Source organism: Homo sapiens, chromosome 22, assembly GCF_000001405.40.
Source record: "Homo sapiens chromosome 22, GRCh38.p14 Primary Assembly".
Taxonomy (NCBI): Eukaryota; Metazoa; Chordata; class Mammalia; order Primates; family Hominidae; genus Homo; species Homo sapiens.
In genome coordinates, this window is record NC_000022.11 from 22,511,104 (window position 1) to 22,532,092 (window position 20,989).

The 20,989-nt window shown below is 43.3% G+C and overlaps 1 protein-coding gene, 1 pseudogene and 1 further gene across 1 annotated transcript, besides 1 other annotated feature; 2 read left to right on the top strand and 1 right to left on the bottom strand.

Moving 5' to 3' along the window:
* IGL (immunoglobulin lambda locus) overlaps window positions 1–20,989 on the top strand; it is an 896,838-nt gene that overhangs the window by 485,028 nt on the left and 390,821 nt on the right.
* On the bottom strand, window positions 2,633–9,167 carry ZNF280A (zinc finger protein 280A). The gene is made up of 2 exons (NM_080740.5): window positions 8,986–9,167; window positions 2,633–4,598 (listed from the first exon to the last, which is right to left on the bottom strand). The coding sequence occupies exon 2, from the start codon at window positions 4,525–4,527 to the stop codon at window positions 2,899–2,901; it is 1,629 nt and encodes a 542-aa protein (NP_542778.2). The 5' UTR covers window positions 4,528–4,598; window positions 8,986–9,167; the 3' UTR covers window positions 2,633–2,898.
* On the top strand, window positions 6,677–6,772 carry LOC124905161 (uncharacterized; annotated as a pseudogene).
* Window positions 8,807–10,012: an enhancer, noted in NCBI's record as "BRD4-independent group 4 enhancer chr22:22874253-22875452 (GRCh37/hg19 assembly coordinates)". NCBI's record gives its function as "activates an origin of replication core promoter dependent on BRD2, P300/CBP, MED14 and CDK7 cofactors, and independent of BRD4, by STARR-seq in HCT116 cells {active_cell/tissue: HCT116}" and the evidence as "EXISTENCE:reporter gene assay evidence [ECO:0000049][PMID:35650434]".

Below are 20,989 nucleotides of genomic sequence, written 5' to 3' on the forward strand. Positions count from 1 at the left end.
CTTGGGCAACAGAGCGAGACTCCGTCTCAAAAAATAATAACATGAAAAATAAATCTATGAGAAATGATCTTCTTTTGGCTTCATAATAATTCCAATGTCCATCAGTAAATTAGTATCAACTAAGCTCCAGGCTTTATTCAAATGTCACTAGTTTTTCCCATCATCCTTTTTGTTCCAGATTCCCACCCAGGATACTGAATTGTACTTGGTCATTTTGTGTTCTTAGCCTTCTGTGGTCTGTGACAGTTTCTTAAACTTTTCTTGCTTTTCATGACCTTGACAATTTTAAGAAGTAAAGGTCAGGTATTTTTCAGAGTGTCTCTCAATTTAGGTTTGATGTTTTTCTCATGGTTACACTGGGGTTATGGTTTTTAGAAGACTATCACAGACATGATGTGTCTTTCTCATAATTTCTCATCAGCGATCCATGCTATCAATAAGACTTCCTACTGGCTTCTCCGCTGTAAATTACTTCCCCCCCCTTTCATACCTTATTCTAAATCTTGCCTACATGCAGGAAGGCCGTGAGGTCTCATTGAAGGAAAATTATCTACACAAGTTACTTTGCAATTCTTCTTTAAGGAAGATTTGTCTCTTCTTCCTTTAGTTTTAAATTAATCAAAAATAGCTTTTTAGTTTTAAATTAATCAAAAATAAAATAAAAAATTTAGTACCTCAGTCATACTTGCCACATTTCAACAGATCAATAGTCACCTGTAGCATATTGGACAGAGCAGAAGTAGAGCATTTTCATCATTGCAGAAAGATCTACGGACAGCACTGACTTAGATCATTAGTCAACCTTTCTTCTTCCCAAATATATGCATTTAGAAATATAAATTCCCATGAAATGCTTTAGTTCCATCCCATAAATTTTGTGGCTGTTTTCAATATCTTTCAGTTCAACATTTTCCTTTTTTCACTGCAATTTCTTAGAGGAGCTATGGGTTATTCAGAATGAGGACCAGGACTGGGGTGAGATAAGCAAGGAGGCTGAGGCACATTAAGGAGAGACCCACGCCCAGCTTCAGGTATGGCATATTGTCACCTTAGGTTCCCTGCTTGCCTCACCCTAGTCCCAGCCCTGTTTAGAAATGTATTGCCTAATTTAGGAACTTTGGGTTTTTTTTCAGTGATCTTTCTGTTACTGATTTGTAAGTTGATTCCCGTGTACTCAGTGGGTAACTACAAAGAGCCCCACAGCTAACATCACAATTAAAGTAAACTATTCTACCTGAGTTTGAGACCAAGAAAAGCACACCCATGAAAGCCACTTCAATTCGCAAAGCATTTGGAATAGCCAAGGCAATTTTGAACACCAAAGTTGGAGAAATGAAACTACCACACGGAGGATTATGCAAAGCTACAATAATTAAGATACTGCAGCATTAGCACAAGGATAGAGAACAGGACAAATGAAATGAAATAGATTCCAGAAACACATATATACAATCATACCTGATTCACAGTTTCCACGGCAATACAGTAGGGAAGGAGTGGTCTTTTTAGTAAGTGGTGCTGATTGATTTTGGGTATGTATATGAAAAAATTAGTCTTCATGCCTTATCACACCATTAACAAAAAATCAGTTTGAGATGTCTCATCAAAACAGTAAAGCTTCTAGAACATAGAAGGAATATCTTTATGTCGTTTGTAGACAATTTCTTAAATAAGACTCATGAAAGATAAACCATAAAACCACGATTTAGATCCAAATATGGGACATTTCCAGTGCCCCAGCACCCTTCCCAGTCGACAGCCCAGTTTTTAAAAAGGTAGGAGGGGGCAAAACTTGAATAGACATTTAATAAAAAGAAATACTCACGTGGCCGATAACTATATAATCTCAAGGTCCATTAATCATCAGGGAAGTGCAAATTAAAGCCACAATAAGGTACCACTACAATTTCAAGAGAAGGGCACTTACTAAAAGGACTGACAGTACCAAGTGCTGGATCAGTAGCAATGGAATTCGCAGTATCGGTGGTGGGAATGTAAATCGTTTCAATCACTCTGGAAATGTATTTGGCAGTATCTACACTAGACAGCTAAATATATGCAGTTCCAGCACTTCTCATAGCTATATATACCCACGAGAAATGATTACATGCTTACCAAAAGACACGCACAAGCTCATAGCAGCTTTATTCAAAATTGCCAAAGAATCAGCCTCAAAGTCCATCAACAGTGAAATAAATTTATACAAAACTGCCACAGTCACTCAACAAAATTCTACCCAGCAATGAAAAAGAATGTGCTACTGCTACACACAGCAAAAATGCATCTCACTTATTTTATTTCATTTTACTTTATTTTGAGACAGTCATGCTCTGTCACCCAGGCTGGAGGGCAGTGGCGCGATCTCAGCTCAGTGCAAACTCCCCCCTCCCAGGTTCAAGCGATTCTCCTGCCTCAGCCTCCCGAGTAGCTGGGACTACAGGCGCCCACCACCACGCTTGGCTAATTTTTCTATTTTATGCAGAGAAGGGGTTTCACTATGTTGGCCAGCCTGGTCTCAAACTTCTGACCCCAAGTGATCCACCCACCTCAGTCTCCCAAAGTGCTGGGATTACAGGCATGAGCCATCACACCCAGCCATCTCACTTATTTTAAAAAGCCAAAGACAAGAATCTTTGTGTGATTCCATTTATTTAAAGTTCATGAACAAGAAAAACCTCTGAGGTCAGAATAAGGGATGCCCTGTTGGGAGCATTTGACTGGGAAAGGGCTCAAAGACTTTGGAGCTACTTCTTGACAATAGGGAGCTGATGAGATGTCACTGTAAAAAACAACCTGACAGTTGATGACATTGCTTGCTAGCATCTACAGCCACAATGCACATATGGCCTAGCCTCACTTCTGCCTTTCGGAACTCCTGGAAGTCAGTCGAACATATTTTCAGCTAGAATCCTTGCTGCAAGGGAGTCTGGAATCTCTAGTGTTCATAGCCGTCTTCTTTTTAGTTTTTACAGGAGAAGACTGAGGGTCAGTGTTGCTAACAATAACGGAAGCCATACCACTTGATCCTGGCTGAACTGAAGTTTGAATAATAACTTTTGTTTCACTAGGCAACCCTTGCAGTTGCTCCGGCTTTTTAAATGTTTGATGGTCCTTGGTTTTGTGCTCTATTTCCTCCTTCAACGTCAAAAACTGTAGCCGGCACTTGGAACACTGAAGGACCCTCCTTCTGCTGTGCCTCCAACAATGATTCATGTATGGTATTGCAGTTTTGAAAAGTTTGAGACAAAACAGACAAAGCAAATTCTTTGTGTTTTCATGGCACGTTCTAAAATGTGTTTCCACATCAGCAAAGACCGACGATCTGTAATGGCAAACCTGGCACACATAAGGCATTTCGCCAGGCTTATGATGGTCCTTCATGTGTTGTAAGAGGACCTGATCTGTTTCAAATGACAATTCACAGATTTTACAGACAGCAGAGGGCCCCATGGCGATGTGTACACTATCAATGTGACACTGTAGCTGGAAGGGAGTGGGAAACTGCCGGTGGCAGTGCTGGCAGGTGGTGTGGTCTTCCCAGCTGTCGTTCCTCTGCTTCTCAAATTCCAAATGATGCTTCATGTGATTCATAAACTTAATATTTTTTAGAACTTTCACGCAGCTGAGGCATTTAAAGGTGGTGTGAGTCTTCTGTTCCGGCTGCCCATCTCCTTTATGCTGTCCATAGTAAAAGTCGCTAAGTAACACGATGGGATTTTCTTTCTTGGGATCAAAGGTCTTGTTTTGACTTGCTAGACTTGAAATGTCTGTCATTGCCAGGGCAGACTCACTTGCTCTCTCTGGATCTGTAAGATTGAAATGTGCCTTTCCATTAGCATCAGGCCAAGGAAATGTTACTCCATTCTGAACATGGTTTGATGAGTTGCAGATCCCCTGTGAGGGTGTATTTGTGCTTATTGTAGAAGACATATCTGAAGGGACCACAGCTAAAGAAGGTACCCCTGGGATTCCATCCCTGAGTTTAACCCTTTTGGAATCTCTGCTGTTTATATCTGAAGTGGAAAGTCGCTTTGAATCAGGAGAACTCTCATTTCTGCCTCCTCCAGAGACCATAGCTCCAACTAGACACTGAGTCCCTGGGGGGAGCGAGTCTGAGGAACTGGGAGAAACAACTTGTGGTGAGCTCATTTTATAACCAGGTTCAGATGAAGACTTCATAGTGACAGGACTATCTGTCGATCGCCCCTCAGACAGAGAAACCGGCATGATGGCTTTTGCCATAGAGGTCACATGATTTGCAGGCTGCGACACGTGAGCAGGATATTGACGGAAGTGGCCTTTCTTTCTTCTTGAATTTGAGCCTGGGGTGACTCTGTTCAAAATGTTTGAAACGACTGGTTTTGAATTTGAAATCATCCCGACAAAGAGAACTTCAGCATCTCTATGTACATGCTCCACCCCAACATAGATCAGATCTGGATCTTCATCATCCTCCTCCCTTTGTTTGGATTCTCTCAAATTCTTCTTTGGTGATTCCACTTTCTTACACAAAAAGATATCTCCCATTTTCAATTTACTTTTTGCTTGAAGCCACTGGTCTCTTCAACTTCCAGAGCTGTCTTTTTACAAATTGCCACCTAAGTGCAACCATGTGACAATAGTCAATATTTATTTCGAAAGACAAAATCATTACTTTATTGTATCCTCCCTTAAAACACTGAGATAACCATCAACATCTCTATTTTACACGTCAGAAATGAGGCTTGAAACATTTTAAATGGCATAATAATTTCAAATTTACCTGTCTCTCCTCCCCTGGTCTTCTGCAGTTGTGAGGCAAAGGAAGCAAGATTTCAGGAGGTGCAGATGGAACATCTCAGAGTGCTTGCCTCTAAATTTTGCACTCTAGATGCCTCACTCACCTCCTCCTCATCCCACAGGTACTCTCTCAGATGTCTAAGGTTTCTAACCAACTTGAACAAAACTTCTCTCAAAAACATTCTGCTCCTAGCCTGGGCAACATAGCAAGACCCCATCTCTACAAAAAAATTTAAAAATTAAAAAAAATTAGCTTGGCATGGTGGTACACACCTGTGGTCCCAGCTACTTGGGAGGCTGAGCCAAGAGGAACACTTGAGCCCAGGACTTCAAAGCTATGTTCATGCCACTGCACTCCAGCCTGGGCAACCAAATGAGACCCCATCACACAAACACACACACACACAAATCACAGCACACACACACACACACACCCTTTGCTGTTCCTGTAATGTTCCTTTTCTCAGTAAACTCAGTTGCTCAGTCTACAAACTTCAGAGTCATCCTTTGCCAGACTTTCTCTCATACACTACAGCCAATCAATTAGCAAAGCTAGTCTGCTCTATCTTTTAAAGATATCCAGAATCTGACTACTCTCTTCCACATCTACTGCCACCTCCCTGATGGAAGGTACCATGTTCTCTCCCTGGATCACTGCAGAAGTTGCCAGTCTTAAAAGTTTTGTCAGATCTCCCCATGGTGGCCCCAATGCCCCTGTTAAAATATACAGGGGAGCAAGTATATTTCGCTCTTAAGTCTTCAATGACTTTCCATTTCATTCATAGGAAATACCAGCAAACTTTAAATTTCCCCATGGAACCTTAGGTCATCATCGCCCTTGCTAACTCCTCTGTTGCTCTGATGCAGCCATCCTGAGCTCCGTGAATCTGGAACACAGCAGGCCTTTTTCTTTTTCAGAACTTTTGTTGTTCCCGGACGTTGCGTGCCTCTTTCCCCAGATTAACCCCATCTGGGCTCCTGGTCTGCCTCAGTCCCATGGTTCCTCTTCAGCAAGGCTTACCTGACCACAATATCAAAAATCACAACCTCCTTAACTCATATGTTCAAACCCTCAATGTTATTTTTCAACTTAGCATTTATCACTGCCTACCACACAATATGTAAAATATATCTTGCAAGCCCAGGAGTTTGAGATTACAGTGAGATATATCATGTCACTGCATCCAGCCTGGGTGACAGAGGAAAGGAAGACTCTGTGTCTTAAAACAACAACAAAAAATGGGACAGGTGCAGTGGCTCGTACCTGTAATCCCAACACTTTGTAAGGCCAAGGCGGAAGGATTGCTTGAGGTCAGGAGCTCGAGACCAGCCTGGGCAACATAGCAAGACCCATCTCTACAAAAAATTTAAAAATATAACTTGTTTCTTTTCTGTGTTTACCCACTAAACTGTATGCCACACGAGGGCAGGGAGTTGTGTTTCATTTACTCCTCAGCTTATAGAGCAATGTCTGTCATACTGTGCATGCTAAATCTTTGTTAAATAAATAGTAGCTGTTATTAATATGATCATTTAGGTGTACCAGAGGCTCTAATCCATTATTCCAGATTCTCTAAGCATTTAATGAAATCCAAATCCAAATGATTTAATACTGTTGTACAAGGGAGAAGGTAAACCTGTGTGTATGTGTGTGTAAATTGAAACAAAAGTTTTGTCAAATACTCTAATACCTTCACCTTACCACAAGGGATAGGCTCTGATACCTTCTATGCCATATTTTATTGATTCTAAGGTATAGGCTTAGATTTCCATTTTAACATCTCTAAATCAGATTGCATCTCATCATAGCATCTCATCAATATAAAATACATTTCATAATTTGTTTTTGCAGTATATATTTTTATTTCATAGTGGAATCAAAAATGACATATCTCAGATCCTTTTGTGAGGATAAGCGTGATGCTTGGGTTTTCACTCATGTGAGATGTGCTTCCCTCAAACCTTGTTATATCAGCATGTTTAACATCTGATGTAAAAAAAAAAAAAAAGGAGAGTAATGTATCTTTTATAATTGATGGCATCTTTTTTTTTTTTTTTTTGAGATGGAGTCTCGCTCTGTCGCCCAGGCTGGAGTGCAGTGGTGCGATCTCGGCTCACTGCAGGCTCCGCCCCGCGGGGTTCACGCCATTCTCCTGCCTCAGTCTCCCGCGTAGCTGGGACTACAGGCGCCCGCCACCTCGCCCGGCTAATTTTTTGTATTTTTAGTAGAGACGGGGTTTCACCGTGTTAGCCAGGATGGTCTCGATCTCCTGACCTCGTGATCCGCCCGCCTCGGCCTCCCAAAGTGCTGGGATTACAGGCATGAGCCACTGTGCCCGGCCAATTGATGGCATCTTATAGTCAGTGAAAAATCCTATTTCTTTTTGTAAGCTGACAGCACACTAAACTTGTTTTGTAGTTCTCTAATGGATATCAGCTACATTTTGGCAAACAATGGTTTAAGACAGAAATTGGAAAATTGGCCCTTCCCCTGTTTTTGTACAGTCAGGAAGCCAAGAATGTTTCTTACATTTTTAAGGTATTGTTTTCTTACTTTTTTTTTATTAAGATTTTTTTAAACTTGTACATTTTTAAATTTGGGGGAATAAACATGCAAAAGGAAGCGGGGCGCGGTGGCTCACGCCTGTAATCCCAGCACTTTTGGGAGGCCGAGGTGGGCAGATCACTTGAGCTCAGGAGTTCGAGACCAGCCTGGCCAACATGGTGAAACCCCTTCTCTACTAAAAATACAAAAATTAGCCAGGCATGGTAGCAGATGCCTGTAGTCCCAGCTACTCGGGAGGCTGAGGCAGGAGAATCTCTTGAACCTGGGAGGTGGAGGTTGCAGTGAGCGAAGATCGCACCACTGTGCTCCAGCCTGGGTGACAGAGTGAGACTGTCTCAAAAAAAAAAAAAAGAAAAAAGGAATATTTTGTGATGTGAAAATTATATAACATTCAAAATGTCAGTGTTCACCATAAAGTGTTGTGGAACACAGCCATAATCATTTTTTTAGTGCTGTTGTCCATGGCTGCTTTCACACTTCTATGACACAGTTGAGTACAGTAGTACCCCCTTATCTTTGGGGCATATGTTCCAAGACCCCCGAAGTGGATGCTTGAAACTGCAGATGGAACCAAATTCAATATATACTATATTTTTTCATATATGTACATACCTATGATCAAGCTTAATTTATAAATAGGCACAGTAAGAGGTTAAGCATAACAAAATAATTATAACAATATACTGTAATAAAAGATATGTGAGATAGGGCGTGGTGGCTCATGCCTGTAACCTCAGCACTTTGGGAGGCTGAGGTGGGTGGATCACCTGAGGTCAGGAGTTTGAGACCAGCCTGGCCAACATGGTGAAACCCATCTCTACTAAAAATACAAAAATTATCTGGGCAGAGTGGCGAGCACCTGTAATCTCAGCTACTTGGGAGGCTGAGGCAGGAGAATCACTTGAACCCGGGAGGCGTGGGTTGCAGTGAGCCGAGATCGCACCGTGGCACTCCAGCCTGGGCGGCCAGAGTGAAACTCCGTTTCAAAAAAATAAATTAATAAATTAAATTAAAGGTATGTGAATGCAATCTCTCGCTGACAAAATATCTTTATGTACTGTAGATCTTGGCAACCTTAGCATACGATTTTGTTTTCTTTCCTTATTATGTTAAAAACTTTCCCATTTTCACTTAAAGGAAGCAAGCACTTTACAGCTTCTTTTTGGCATATTTGAATCGCCAGCATTGCTACCCTTGTACTTTGGGGCCATTATTAAGTACCATAAGGGTTAATTGAACACAAGCACTGAGATACCACCAGGACAGTCACTCTGATAACTGCGACCGCTCCTAAGTGACTAAGGTACAGAGAGCGCAGCCAGCCAACAGCATGGGGACTCAGGACAAAGGGAGGATTACCATCCCAGGGCAGGGCTGACTCAAGAGCTTATCACACTACTCAGAAGGGCTGGCGACTTAAAATTTATGTATTGCCTATTTCTGGAATTTTCCAATTAATATTTTGGAACCTCAGGTAACTGAAAGCACAGAAAGGAATACCCTGGATAAGGGAAGACTACTGTAGTTGAAGCAGAGAATTGCAATGCCTAAAATATTTGCCATCTAGTCTTTCACAGAACAAGTTTGCCAGCTCTAGTTTTAGAGGAGCAAAATGAAAGATAGCAAATTTCTCAGCTCACCAGTTCCTAAAGTTGCGAGTGCATCCAGATGATTCAGTGCAGCTCAGTATGTTCCACTCTGGGCCGCAAGGGAAAGCGAAGCTGGAGCTTCCTTGTCTCCACCTCCCGGAGAAATTTGTCCAGAGACCGGCAGCACTGCTTCCGCAGGCGAACAACGCCGCTTGCTCTTCAAAGTCCTTTCTGAGGCCAGATCAGAAGGTCCCACTCCTTTTAAGCCCCTTATAGCCCAATCATTTTTCCAGTCACGTGTCTGAAGCAGTTTATCCTGATTGGATTTTCAGTTGTTGTCCAGCTTGATTGCCAAAAGTTTTCCTCCAATTGCTACTCAAAGGAAAGAATGAGGGTGGGGCTTCAGGGCTGCCTTCCAGGTTGATTGAGCTGGTGATGGGCATCCTCCCTCCTCTCTCTCTTGTTCAGAGTCTACCACTTTCTCTGCAGTGTGCCTGGGCCCTCAGCTATTGGGGATGAGAAGGGATGCGGAGTGGGAGGCAGTCCACATGTCTGTTCCAACAAAGCTCAGAGGTGAGCGAGTTGAAAAGCAGATGTCTTTCCAGTAGGAGCCCCAGGGGACAGGGTGGGTCTCAATCTCACAGCCCTTGAAGACCGAGCTCCCGTAGGAGTTTCCAGGTGTCCAAACAGGGTCCTCACTGTGAGTCTTCAACAGCTTTCTCCAAGCAGCAGCCCACTCCCTTCTTAATCCATTTCCAGGGGTCAAAGGTCTATCCTGGTTCCCTCCCATGCCCTCTCACTTCCTTCCCTCTGTCTCTCCCTCCTCCCTCCTCCTTCACTACCCCCTCCCTGGAACCTTCTCAGCTGAATTTCAGGCCCACCCTTTCACTCTCTTTACAGGCTTTGCAACACAGATTAGAAAGCGGGGGAGGGGGAGCCTCAAGAGTCCCTTGACAGGTAAGAAATATTTATATTTCCACCCCCATTCCAACGCAATGCAATCAAGTCTCAAAATTAAAACGAAAATCATTTGCAAATTAAAATGTTCTAAAGTACCATCTCCTGATAAAACTTTAAAAATACCTTTCTGGGCCGGATGTGGTGACTCACATCTGTAATCCCAGCACTTTTGAAGGCCGAGGCAGCAGATCACATGAGCCCAGTAGTTTGAGACCAGCCTGGCCAACATGGTGAAAACCTGTCTCTTATTCTTTATAAAGTAAAATACAAAAATTTCCTGGGCGTGGCCGTGCGTGCCTGTAATCCCAGGTACTCGGGAGGCTGAGGCAGAATAATCACTTGAACCCAGTAGGCAGAGCCCAAGGTGGTATAAAAGTGTGTGACCCATGGTCTTTATTCTTGTCTAGGGACTGGGGAAAGGCTGCTTGAGGGCATTGCAAGTAGCCAAGAGCATGACCCTGGAAAGGAAGGTGAAATGAGGCCCGCTACTGAGGTACACCTGTAGTCCCAGCTATCAAAGGCTGAGGTGAAAGATCTTTGAGCCCAGGAAATCCAGACAAACCTCAGCAAAATATCAAGACCTCTGTTTCTACAAAAGAAAAAAAATTTTTTTTAATTAGCCAGGCATTGTAGCACGTGCCTGTAGTCCCAGCTACCCGGGAGGCTGAGGTGGGAGGATTGCTTGAACCAGGGAGATCGAGGTTGCAGTGAACTATGATTGCATCACATACTTTAGCCTGGATGGAAGAGAGAGACCTTGTCTCATTCATTCATTCATAAATAAATAAGCAAGCAAAGTGAAATGAAGTGCAAGACTTAGACAGTAAAGTTCTAACAGGGGCCGGGCGTGGTGGCTCACGCCTGTAATCCCAGCGCTTAGGCAGAGGCAGGCAGGTGGCTTGAGCCCAGGAGTTTGAGACTAGCCTGGGCAACCTGGCAAAACCGTGTCTCCACAAGAAAATACAAAAAATTAGCCTGGGTGACAGAGTGAAACCCTGTCTCAAAAAAATAAAAAAAGAAAAAAGAAAGGAAGACAGAGAAAGAAAGAAGGAAAGAAAGAGAAAAAAAGGAAGGAAAGAAAGGAAAGGAAATGTGTATTCTGCAGAACTGATATTCACTCCTTCCTCTTTTCCAGAAGCAGAATCCTGCTAGGAAGATTCCAGGAAGCCTAGGCAGTGGTCAGGGGCTGGCTCAGGTATAAAGCAGGCCCTTCCCCTGAGACAGAAGGTTGTGGCAACAATGCTTGTGGGAGGTGAGAAAATTGAGAGGAGTGTCTAGAAATAGCTCGGAGTTGCATCTTATTTTCTTTTGCTCAGTTTTAAAAGTCCCAAATAAGACCACATCTAGCTGTTCTAACCAAGCTATTCTAACCCACTAATCTAGTAAAAATAAAATCACATGGTCTGAATATAAATTTGCATCAGGATACATGCCTTTCCTATGAAACATTTATGTTTCCTTATAAAATGTATCCTCCTTTTCTGCAGAAAACTAACTGTAATGCATCCAAAGGTCACAGAATGTGGTGAAACATCCTCATCATTGATTTTTTTAAAAAATTTTATTTATTTATTTATTTGTTTTTTGAGACATGGTCTCACACTCTGTTGCCCAGGCTGGAGTGCAGTGGAACGATCATGCAGTCTTGATGTCCTGGACCCGAGCGATCCTCCCACCTCAGCCTCCCAAGTAGCCAGGACAATAGGCAGATGCCACCATGTCTAACTGATTTACTTTTATTTTTGAGTAGAGATGAGGTCTCACTATGTTGCCTGAACTGGTCTCAAGCTCCTGAGCTCAAGCAAACTTCCCACCTCGGCCTCCCAAAGTTCTGGGATTACAGGCGTGAACTACCCGCACCCTGCCCTCCATAACTGATTCTTTTTTTTCAGACTTCACTCTGTTGGCCAGGCTGGAGTACAGTGGTGTGATCTCTGCTCACTGCAACCTCCGTCTCCCAGGCTCAAGCAATTCTCGTGCCTCAGCCTCTCAAGTAGCTGGGATTACAGGCATGAGCCAACACGCCCGGCTAATGTTTGTATTTTTAGTAGAGACAGGGTTTCACCATGTTGGCCAGGCTGGTCTTGAACTCCTGATCTCAGGTAATCTGCCCACCTCGGCCTCCCAAAGTGCTAGGATTAAAGGCGTGAGCCACCACGCCCAGCCATAGCTGATTCTTTATCAGTCTGCCTTTGGGAAGTTTCCACTGGGAAACACTCTCCAGGACTGTTTCGGACCAGCCCCACTTTCCAAACAAAGAATTCCAGTGATGAGATTAAAGCTTGTCACAATATGTTTTTCAAATGACTGGTAGAAGCAGACCTTAAGATTAAAAAAGAAGAAGAAAAAATGGCTGAAATCTTGAATCCTTTATTGCTTTAAGGCACAGAATAGGAAATGGATGGCGCGTCGGGAATGGATGCAGGTCAGGGACAGACCATCACTCATGCCACCTTGCTGTGTTTATGAAACAGAGTGCTAGAAGTTAAATTTGGGGGATGCACAAAGAGATGCCTAATCAGATGAACTCAGAGTTGGAATTGCTGTTTGTGAGACAGTTACATCAAAGGAAGAAAAGAAGGAGAGAAGAAAGGTGACTATCAGGAGAATTTTCCAGCCAGAAGAAAGACACAGAGGCACAGGCATTTCATGGCCTGAAAAAGGAAGAGCACAGAGACAAGTGTGGCTCCAGTTAAAGGACCAGCGGAGATGAAAGATGAGGTCAGTGATTTGGGTAGGGGACATAGCAGTTAAGATATTGTTGGTCAAGGCTGGGCGTGGTGGCTCACGCCTGTTAATCCCAGCACTTTGGCAGGCCAAGGCGGGTGAATCACGAGGTTAGGAGATCAAGAGCATCCTGGCTAACACAGTGAAACTCCGTCTCTACTAAAAATACAAAAAAATTAGCCGGGCGTGGTGGCGGGCGCCTGTAGTCCCAGCTACTTGGGAGGCTGAGGCAGGAGAATGGTGCAAACCCAGGAGGCGGAGCTTGCAGTGAGCCGAGATCACGCCACTGCACTCCAGCCTGGGCGACAGAGCAAGACTGTGTCTCAAAAAAAAAAATAGACGTGAAGGATGCAAAGATGCGTATGAGTGACAGTATGTCTAATCTCCTACTTTATGAATGGCCATTTTCAAATTCTATCATTCCTTCAATATTTATTAATTCTTTTGTAAAGAAGAATGTTGATTTGTCTATCAGTGTGGCACCAGGAAGATTTATGTTATTTAAAAATGTTATAAACAGATACTGTCATTATTTTTTTGATGCTTCAAATGTCAAGTGAGAGTCCCTTTACCATGCTCCCCATATCTTTATTTTTCCTTTTTTGAGAGAGAGAGTCATGATTATTCATTTATTTCACACCTGATTCTCATTACATCAGTCTGAGAGAGGAAGGAGTTATGCACCAGCGCATACAATTGTGCTGTTCTATTATCCTTCAGACAGTATTGGGATCTAGGTTCTAGTTATTTTTAAATTCAGGGATCTGAATCAGAGCCCAAAGAGGTTGACTGCTGCTGCTGGGGACTGGGGGCTGCTGGGAGAACAGCAGAAAACAGGCATGGAGCTGACCCTGGACGGTTCATGCTCCAGAACTCCGATCTTGGTACCTGAGGATCTTTCACGGAGATCATGGACAGGGGTGTGACAGCAGTTCCTCAAAGCAAATGGGGATGGCAAACCTGGGGCTGGTACTTGGGAGTTGGAAAAACAACCATATTTGCACAAGGAGAAACTGAAAAACCGCTGTCCTTCCATCTGTATCCCAGAATCCTATGTAGAACCATGAGGACAGGGCCAGGGTTGGTTCCTTGGTCTCTGTTTGTCCTCATCAGTAGTCCAGTAGGAGTCCTGCAAACTTATCACCATCTGGAGACAGTGCTGCCAACTCTTCTTTATGCCCCACTGCTTGAGATGCTAGTCGATTGCTTTAGACTATTCATGATTCTTCTTCCTCAACTCTTCACATTAAAGAAATTCCTAGCCAGGTATGGTGGCTCATGCCTGTAATCCCAGCACTTTGGGAGGCCAGAAGTTGGAGACCAGCCTGGGCAACATGGCGAAACCCTGTCTCTACAAAAAAATAGAAAAATTAGCTGAGCGTGGTGGTGGGTGCCTATAGTCCCAGCTACTTGGGAGGCTGAGGTAGGAGGATCACCTGGAACCTGGGAGGCAGAGGTTGCAGTTTGCCGAGATCACACCACTGCATTCCAGCCTCGGCAACAGAGTAAGACTGTCTCAAAAAAAAAAGGAAAGTAATTCCCGTTCTTTGATGAAACTCTGGATCTCCCGGTCATTCCGTGTTTTAATCAACTGTTCTCAGGGTTTTCTAGTTCCTTGGTTTCATAATTTCAGTCTCAAGTCTCACTTTCTCTGTTTTTATTCCTGAGTTTCCTCCTAAGGTTCTTTTCATTGCAGCCACAGGCCTTAGTCCAGGGTCTGCAGAGAGCTAGTACTTACTCTGCCCAAATGGAATCCAAGAGCATCAGAAGGTGCCCGAAGGTGGAAATGTGTTTCTGCTCTCTGCTTTTGGCAGTCTTGCTCTCCATGTCTTTTTTGACATGCCCCCTGATACAGTTTGGATGTTGTAATCAACCAGATCTCGTGTCAAAATGTAACCCCTGATGTTGGACATGAAGTCTGGTGAGAGGTGATTGGATCATGGAGGTGGATTTCTCATGAATGGTTTAGTACCATCCTCTTGGTACTGTCCTCGTGATAGTGAGTGGGTTCTCCTGAGACCTAATTGTTTTAAAGTGTGTGGCACCTCCCGCATCTCTCCTGCGCTGGCTATGATATAGCTATTATGGAAAGCAGTACGGTGGTTCCTCAAAATATTAAAAATAGAGCTACCATATGATTCAGCAATTCCATTTCTGGGTATATATCCGAAGGAAATGAAATCTATATGTTAAAGAGGTATCTTTACTCTCATGTACATTGCAGGACTATTCACCACAGTCAAGATGTGGAATCAACCTAAGTGTTCATGATGAATGGATAAAGATAGTGTGGTATGTATACACAATAAAATGGTATTCAGCCTTTCTTTCTTTTTTTTTTTTTTGAAACAATATCTTCCTCTGTCACCCAGGCTGGAGTGCAGTGGCACGACGATCATAACTCACTGCCGCCTTGAACTCCTGAATTCAAGCAATCCTCCCACCTCAGCCTCCAAAGTAACTGGGACCACAAGTGCATGCCACCAACACCTGGCTAATTAAAAAACAAATTTCTGTAGGGACAAGGTCTCACTTTGTTGCCCAGGCTGGTCACAAATGCCTGTACTCAAGTGATCCTCCCGCCTTGGCCTCCCAAAGTGCTAGGATGACAGGCAAAAGCCACCATGCCTTACCACTATTCAGCCTTAAAATTCAGCCTTAAAATCAAAGGAAGTTCTGTTATTTGCAACAACATGGATAAACCTGGATGACATTATGTTAAGTGAAATAAGTCAGACATAGAGAGACCAATACACAGTGTCTCACTTATAGGTGGAATCTAAAAAAGTTAAACTCACAGAAGCAGAGAGTAAAATGGTAGTTATTAGGGTCAGGACGGGTAGAGGATGGGGAGAATAGGCTAAAAGGTACAAAGTTTCGGTTAAACAGGAGGAATTATTAGTTTTGGAGACCTAACATATAGTCTTACAGCATGGTGACTATAATTAATAATAATGTATAGTATATTTTAAAATTGCTGAGTGAGTAGATTTTGAATGTTCTCATCACAAAATTATAAATATGAGGTGATTGCTATATTAATTGGCTTGATTGATATGTTAATTGGCTTGATTTAATCATTACACAATGTGTGCACATATATTTATCATGTACATCATAAAATATATACAAATTGTCATCTGTCAATCAAAATTTTAAAAAAACATTGAAGATCTGGGCACTAAGTATGCTCAATTGTTATTGCTTCAGTAGACAGACCTAGAAAATACAGTGTACTCATATTTCCATTTAAATTTAGTGCCATGCCAGGGATTCTTCTTTCATTTAATTTTATTTATTTTTATTTTTATTTTTATTTTTTGAGACAGGGTCTCACTCTGTCTTCTAGGCTGGAGTGCAGTGGCGCAGTCTCGGCTCACTGCAACCTCTGCCACCCAGGTTCAAGTGATTCTCCTGCCTCAACCTCCCCAGTAGCTGGAATTATAGGTGCATACCACCACGCTCGGCTAATTTTTTGTATTTTTAGTAGAGATGGGGTTTCACCATGTTGGCCAGGCTGATCTTGAACTCCTGACCTCAGGTGATCTGCCCATCTCGGCCACCCAAAGTGCTAGGATTACAGGTGTGAGCCCTTGTTCCCGGCCCCTTCCTTCATTTTATATTTTTATATATACTATACTCAAGTGATCCTCCTGCCTCGGCCTCTGACATGGTTTGGCTGTGTCCCCACCCAAAGCTCATTTTGAATTGTAGCTCCCGTAATTCCCACGTGTTGTAGGAGGGACCCAGTGGGAGATAGCTGAGTCATGAGGGAGGTTTCCCCCATACTGTTCTCATGATAGTGAGTAAGTCTCATGAGATCTGATGGTTTTCTAAGGGGTTTCCCCCTTTCACTTGGCTCTCATTCTCTCTTGCCTGCTGCCATATAAGATGTGTCTTTTGCCTTCCACCATGATTGTGAGGCCTCCCCAGCTACGTGGAACTCCAAGTCCATCAAATTTATTTTTCTTTATAAATTACCCAGGCTCAGGTATGTCTTTATCAGCAGTGTGAAAATGGACTAATACAGCCTCCCAAACTGCTAGGCTTACAGGCAAGAGCCACCATACCTGGTGACTATTCAGCCTTAGAATCAAAGGAAATTCTGTTATTTGCAACAATATAGATAAACCCAGTTGGCATTATGTTAAGTGAAATAAGCCAGACATACAGAGACAAATACACAGTGTCTCACTTTAATTTTTTTTAATTAAATTTTTTGTACAGATGGTGTCTCGCTATATTGCCCAAGCTGGTCACCAATTCCTGGATTCAAGTGATCCTCCTGCCTTGACCTCCCAAGTGCTTGGATTACAGGCATGAGCCACTGTGCCTGGCCTATTTATATTTTTAAATCCCATCATTCTTATTGTAAGACAAGTACAAGAATCTCTCCTAAGTCTAAATGTATTAGGTCATTCTTGCATTGTTATAAAGAAATACCTGAGACTGGGTAATTTATCAAGATGTTTAATTGGCTTACAGTTCTGTGGGCTGTACAGGAAGCATAGTGGCATCTACTTGTGGGGAGGCCGCAGGCAGCTTACAATCATGACAGAGGGTGAAGGGGAGCAGTCATGTCGCATGGTGAAAACAGGAACGACAGAGCAAGAGGGGAGGTGCTACACACTTTTAAACAACCAGATCACTGAGAACTCACTCACTATTGGGAGAATAGTACCCAGGGGGATGGGTGCTAAACCATTCATGAGAAATCACACCCAGGATCCAGTGGCCTCTCGCCAGGCCCCACCTCCAACAGTGGGAATTACATTTCAATATGAGATTTCCGTGGGCAAACACATCCAAACTATATTATTCTGCCCCGGACCCGCTCAAATCTCATGTCCTTCTCGTATGTCAAAATACAATCATGCCTTCCCAATAATCCCCCGAAGTCTTAACTTATTCCAGCATTAACTCAAAAGTTCAAAGTCTTATCTAAGACAAGGCAAGACTCTTCCACATATGAGCCTATAAAATAAAAAATAAGTTAGTTACTTCCAAGATACAACGGGGATACAACCATTAGGTAAACATTCCCATTCCCAAGGGAGAAATCAGCTAAAAGAAAGGGGCTACAGGCCCCATGCAATTCTGAAACCCAGCAGGGCTGTTGTTAAATCTTAAAGCTCCATAATAATCTCCTTTGACTCCATGTCCCACATCCAGGACACACTGATGCAAAGGGTGGGCTCCCAAGGCCCTAGGCAGCTCCATCCCTGTGGCTTTGCGGGGTTCAGCCCCACCCCTGTGGCTATGCGGGGTTCAGCCCCTGCCACTACTCTCATGGGCTGGCATTGAGTGCCTGAGGCTTTTCCAGGCACAGGGTGCAAGCTATGGGTGGATCCACTACAGCTCCACTAGGTAGTGCCCCAGTGGGGACTCTGTGTGGCAGCTCCAACCCCACATTTCCCCTCCACACTGCCCCAGTAGAGGTTCTTTGTGAGGCTAACATTTTGTTTGTTTGTTTTTTGAGAGAGGGCCTTCCTCTGTCTTCCACCCTGGAGTGCAGTGGCATAATCATGGCTCACTGCAGGCTTGAACTTCTGGGCTCAATAGATCCTCCCACCTTCCACAGTGCTGGGTTTACAGGCATGAGCCACTACGCCCAGCCAAAACGCGTGCACATTCTTACGTCAACCTAATAACAGAGAGAAGCTCTTTAAAAGAAAATGATGTGTGTTTGGCAATAGAGCATTGCAATGAAAATATGTATGCCCCTATGTGTGCATTTGGGGAGGTAAAGGAAGACAAAGGTTTTTAAAGGAAGGATAAGAAGGATTACATAATTGTTTTGAGATAATTTTCCTTGACTACAAAGATCAATAGCAAGGGTGACGCTAGTCCAAGGTTGGAGAGGCAGTTGCTGGGCAGATGCCCTTATGGAAGTATTTTTTGCTTAAGGTTGCGATGTCCTTTGTACAAGGTTGTTTCTGTAGAGTCTTTTGTCATTGTTTTTGTTATCAGGTATGCAAGCGTGAAAACACTCTCTTCATGGCCTTCCCAGGCTCTGTTTGTCAAGTTTTGCTTTGTTGTTGTTGTTGTTTTAACATTAGTGGCTCCATTTTGATTCTGACAACTTTCACACTTCTAAGAGTTTAGAAAATATTCTGTTACTGGCCAGGCGTGGTGGCTCACGCCTGTAATCCCAGCACTTTGAAAGGCCAAGGCGGGCGGATCACGAGGTCAGGAGATCAAGACCATCCTGGCTAACATGGTGAAACCCTGTCTCTACTACAAATACAAAAAAAAAAAATTAGCCGGGCATGATGGCGGGCACCTGTAGTCCCAGCTACTTGGGAGGGTGAGGCAGGAGAATGGCATGAACCCGGGAGGCGGAGCTTGCAGTGAGCTGAGATCGCACCACTGCACTCTAGCCTGGGCAACAGAGTGAGACTCCGTCTCAAAAAAAAAAAAAAAAAGAAAAGAAAATACTCTTACTTTTTTTTCCTAAAAATGTATTTTAATTTCTCTTTTTTCTTTCTTTCTTTCTTTTTTTTTTTTTTTTATGAGATGAAGTCTCACTCTGTGGCGCAGGCTAGAGTGCAGTGGTGCGATCTCAGCTCACTGCAAACTCCACCTCCCGGGTTCAAGTGATTCTCCTGCCTCAGCCTCCCGAGTAGCTGGGATTACAGGCGCCCGCCCCCATGCCTGGCTAATTTTTGTATTTTTAGTAAAGACAGGGTTTGCCATGTTGTCCAGGCTGGTCTGGAACTCCTGACCTCAGGTGATCCACTCGCCTTGGGCCCCCAAAGTGTTGCAATTATAGGGGTGAGACAACAGGCCCAGCTTTTTTTTTTTTCTTTTTATACTGGATTTTAAAAAACTAGGAACAGAATTCTTAAAGTCAAATGCTTATAAGGGCCGAGCATCAAACACATTTGCAGCATAGGGTAAAAGAGAAATGAGCCCTTGGAAAATAGAAGCATGCAACAGTCTTTCAAGGATGTTAATGGTACTACTCAATTTTATCTGATTTCTGCCTGATGGCAATGCTGGTGTTGCTGATCTATTTTCCAAGCAACACTGGAAATTTAAATTTTTATGTTGTCTCTCAATTTTAAAGTGCCAGAAAGTATATATTTTTAAGTTTTAAAGCATAATGAAGCCAAATAAAGCACATCTGTGTGTTGATTTGAACTGTGAATTGCCTGTACCCCAATCTGGCTTAATGAGATGTGTATTTTACACTTCACTAGTTTCTGAACTTAAGGTGAGTGGCACATGCAGAACTTAAGGCGAGGGGCACATGCAGAATGATGTGGTCCCTAACTGCCCACGGAAGTGTCTCTAGTGATTGCAGCAGCTTAATCTAAGAGTTATCCCAACTGTCATCTTCATCCCAAATATTTTAGTATAGTATTTTAGTATAGACATCCCTCACTATCTGAAGGGGATTGAATACCAGCATCCTTGGATACTCGAACCTCTTATATAAAATGGCCTAGGATGGCCGGGTGCCGTGGCTCACGCCTGTAATCCCAGCACTTTGGGAGGCTGAGGTGGGCAGATCACGAGGTCAGGAGATCGAGACCATCCTGGCTAACACAGTGAAACCCCATCTCTACTAAAAAACAGAAAAAATTAGCTGGATGTGGTGGTGGGCACCTGTAGTCCTAGCTACTCGGCAGGCTAAGGCAGGAGAATACGGTGAACCCGGGAGGCGGAGCTTGCAGTGAGCTGAGATCGTGCCACTGCACTCCAGCCTGGGCGACAGAGTGAGACTCCATCTCAAAATAAATAAATAAATAAATAAAATGGCCTAGGATTTGCATATAACCAACACACATCCTCCCATATACTTTATTTTTATTTATTTATTTATTTATTTATTTATTTATTTATTTATTTTTGGAGATGGAGTCTCTCTCTGTCATCCAGGCTGGAGTGCAATGGCATAATTTCAGCTCCTTGCAACCTCCACCTCCCGAGTTCAAGCAATTCTCCTACCTCAACCTCCCAAGTAGCTGGGACTACAATCATGAGCCACCATGCCCTGCCACCCTCCCATATACTTTAGATCATCCCTAGATTACTTATAATACTTAGGACAATGTATTATAGTTGTTGTTTTGAGACAGAGACTCACTCTGTCCCCTAGGCAGGAGTGCAGTGGCACGATCATGGCTCATTCCAGCCTTGACCTCTTGAGCTCAAGTGATCCTCCCACCTCAGCCTCCTGAGTATCTAGGACTACAAGCATAAGCCACCATGCCCGGCTAGCCTTTTTTTTTTTTTTTCTCTCTCTTTTTTGGAAGAGACGAGTTCTCACTGTATTGTCCAGGCTGGTCTTGAACTCCTAGGCTCAAGCAATCCTCTGGCCTCAGCCTCCCAAAGTGCTGGGATTACAGGTGCTAGCCACTGA

What these genes read in the sequence shown, in the direction of transcription:
- ZNF280A (NM_080740.5), bottom strand. Translation starts at nt 4,527, where the DNA reads ATGGGAGATATCTTTTTGTGTAAGAAAGTGGAATCACCAAAGAAGAAT.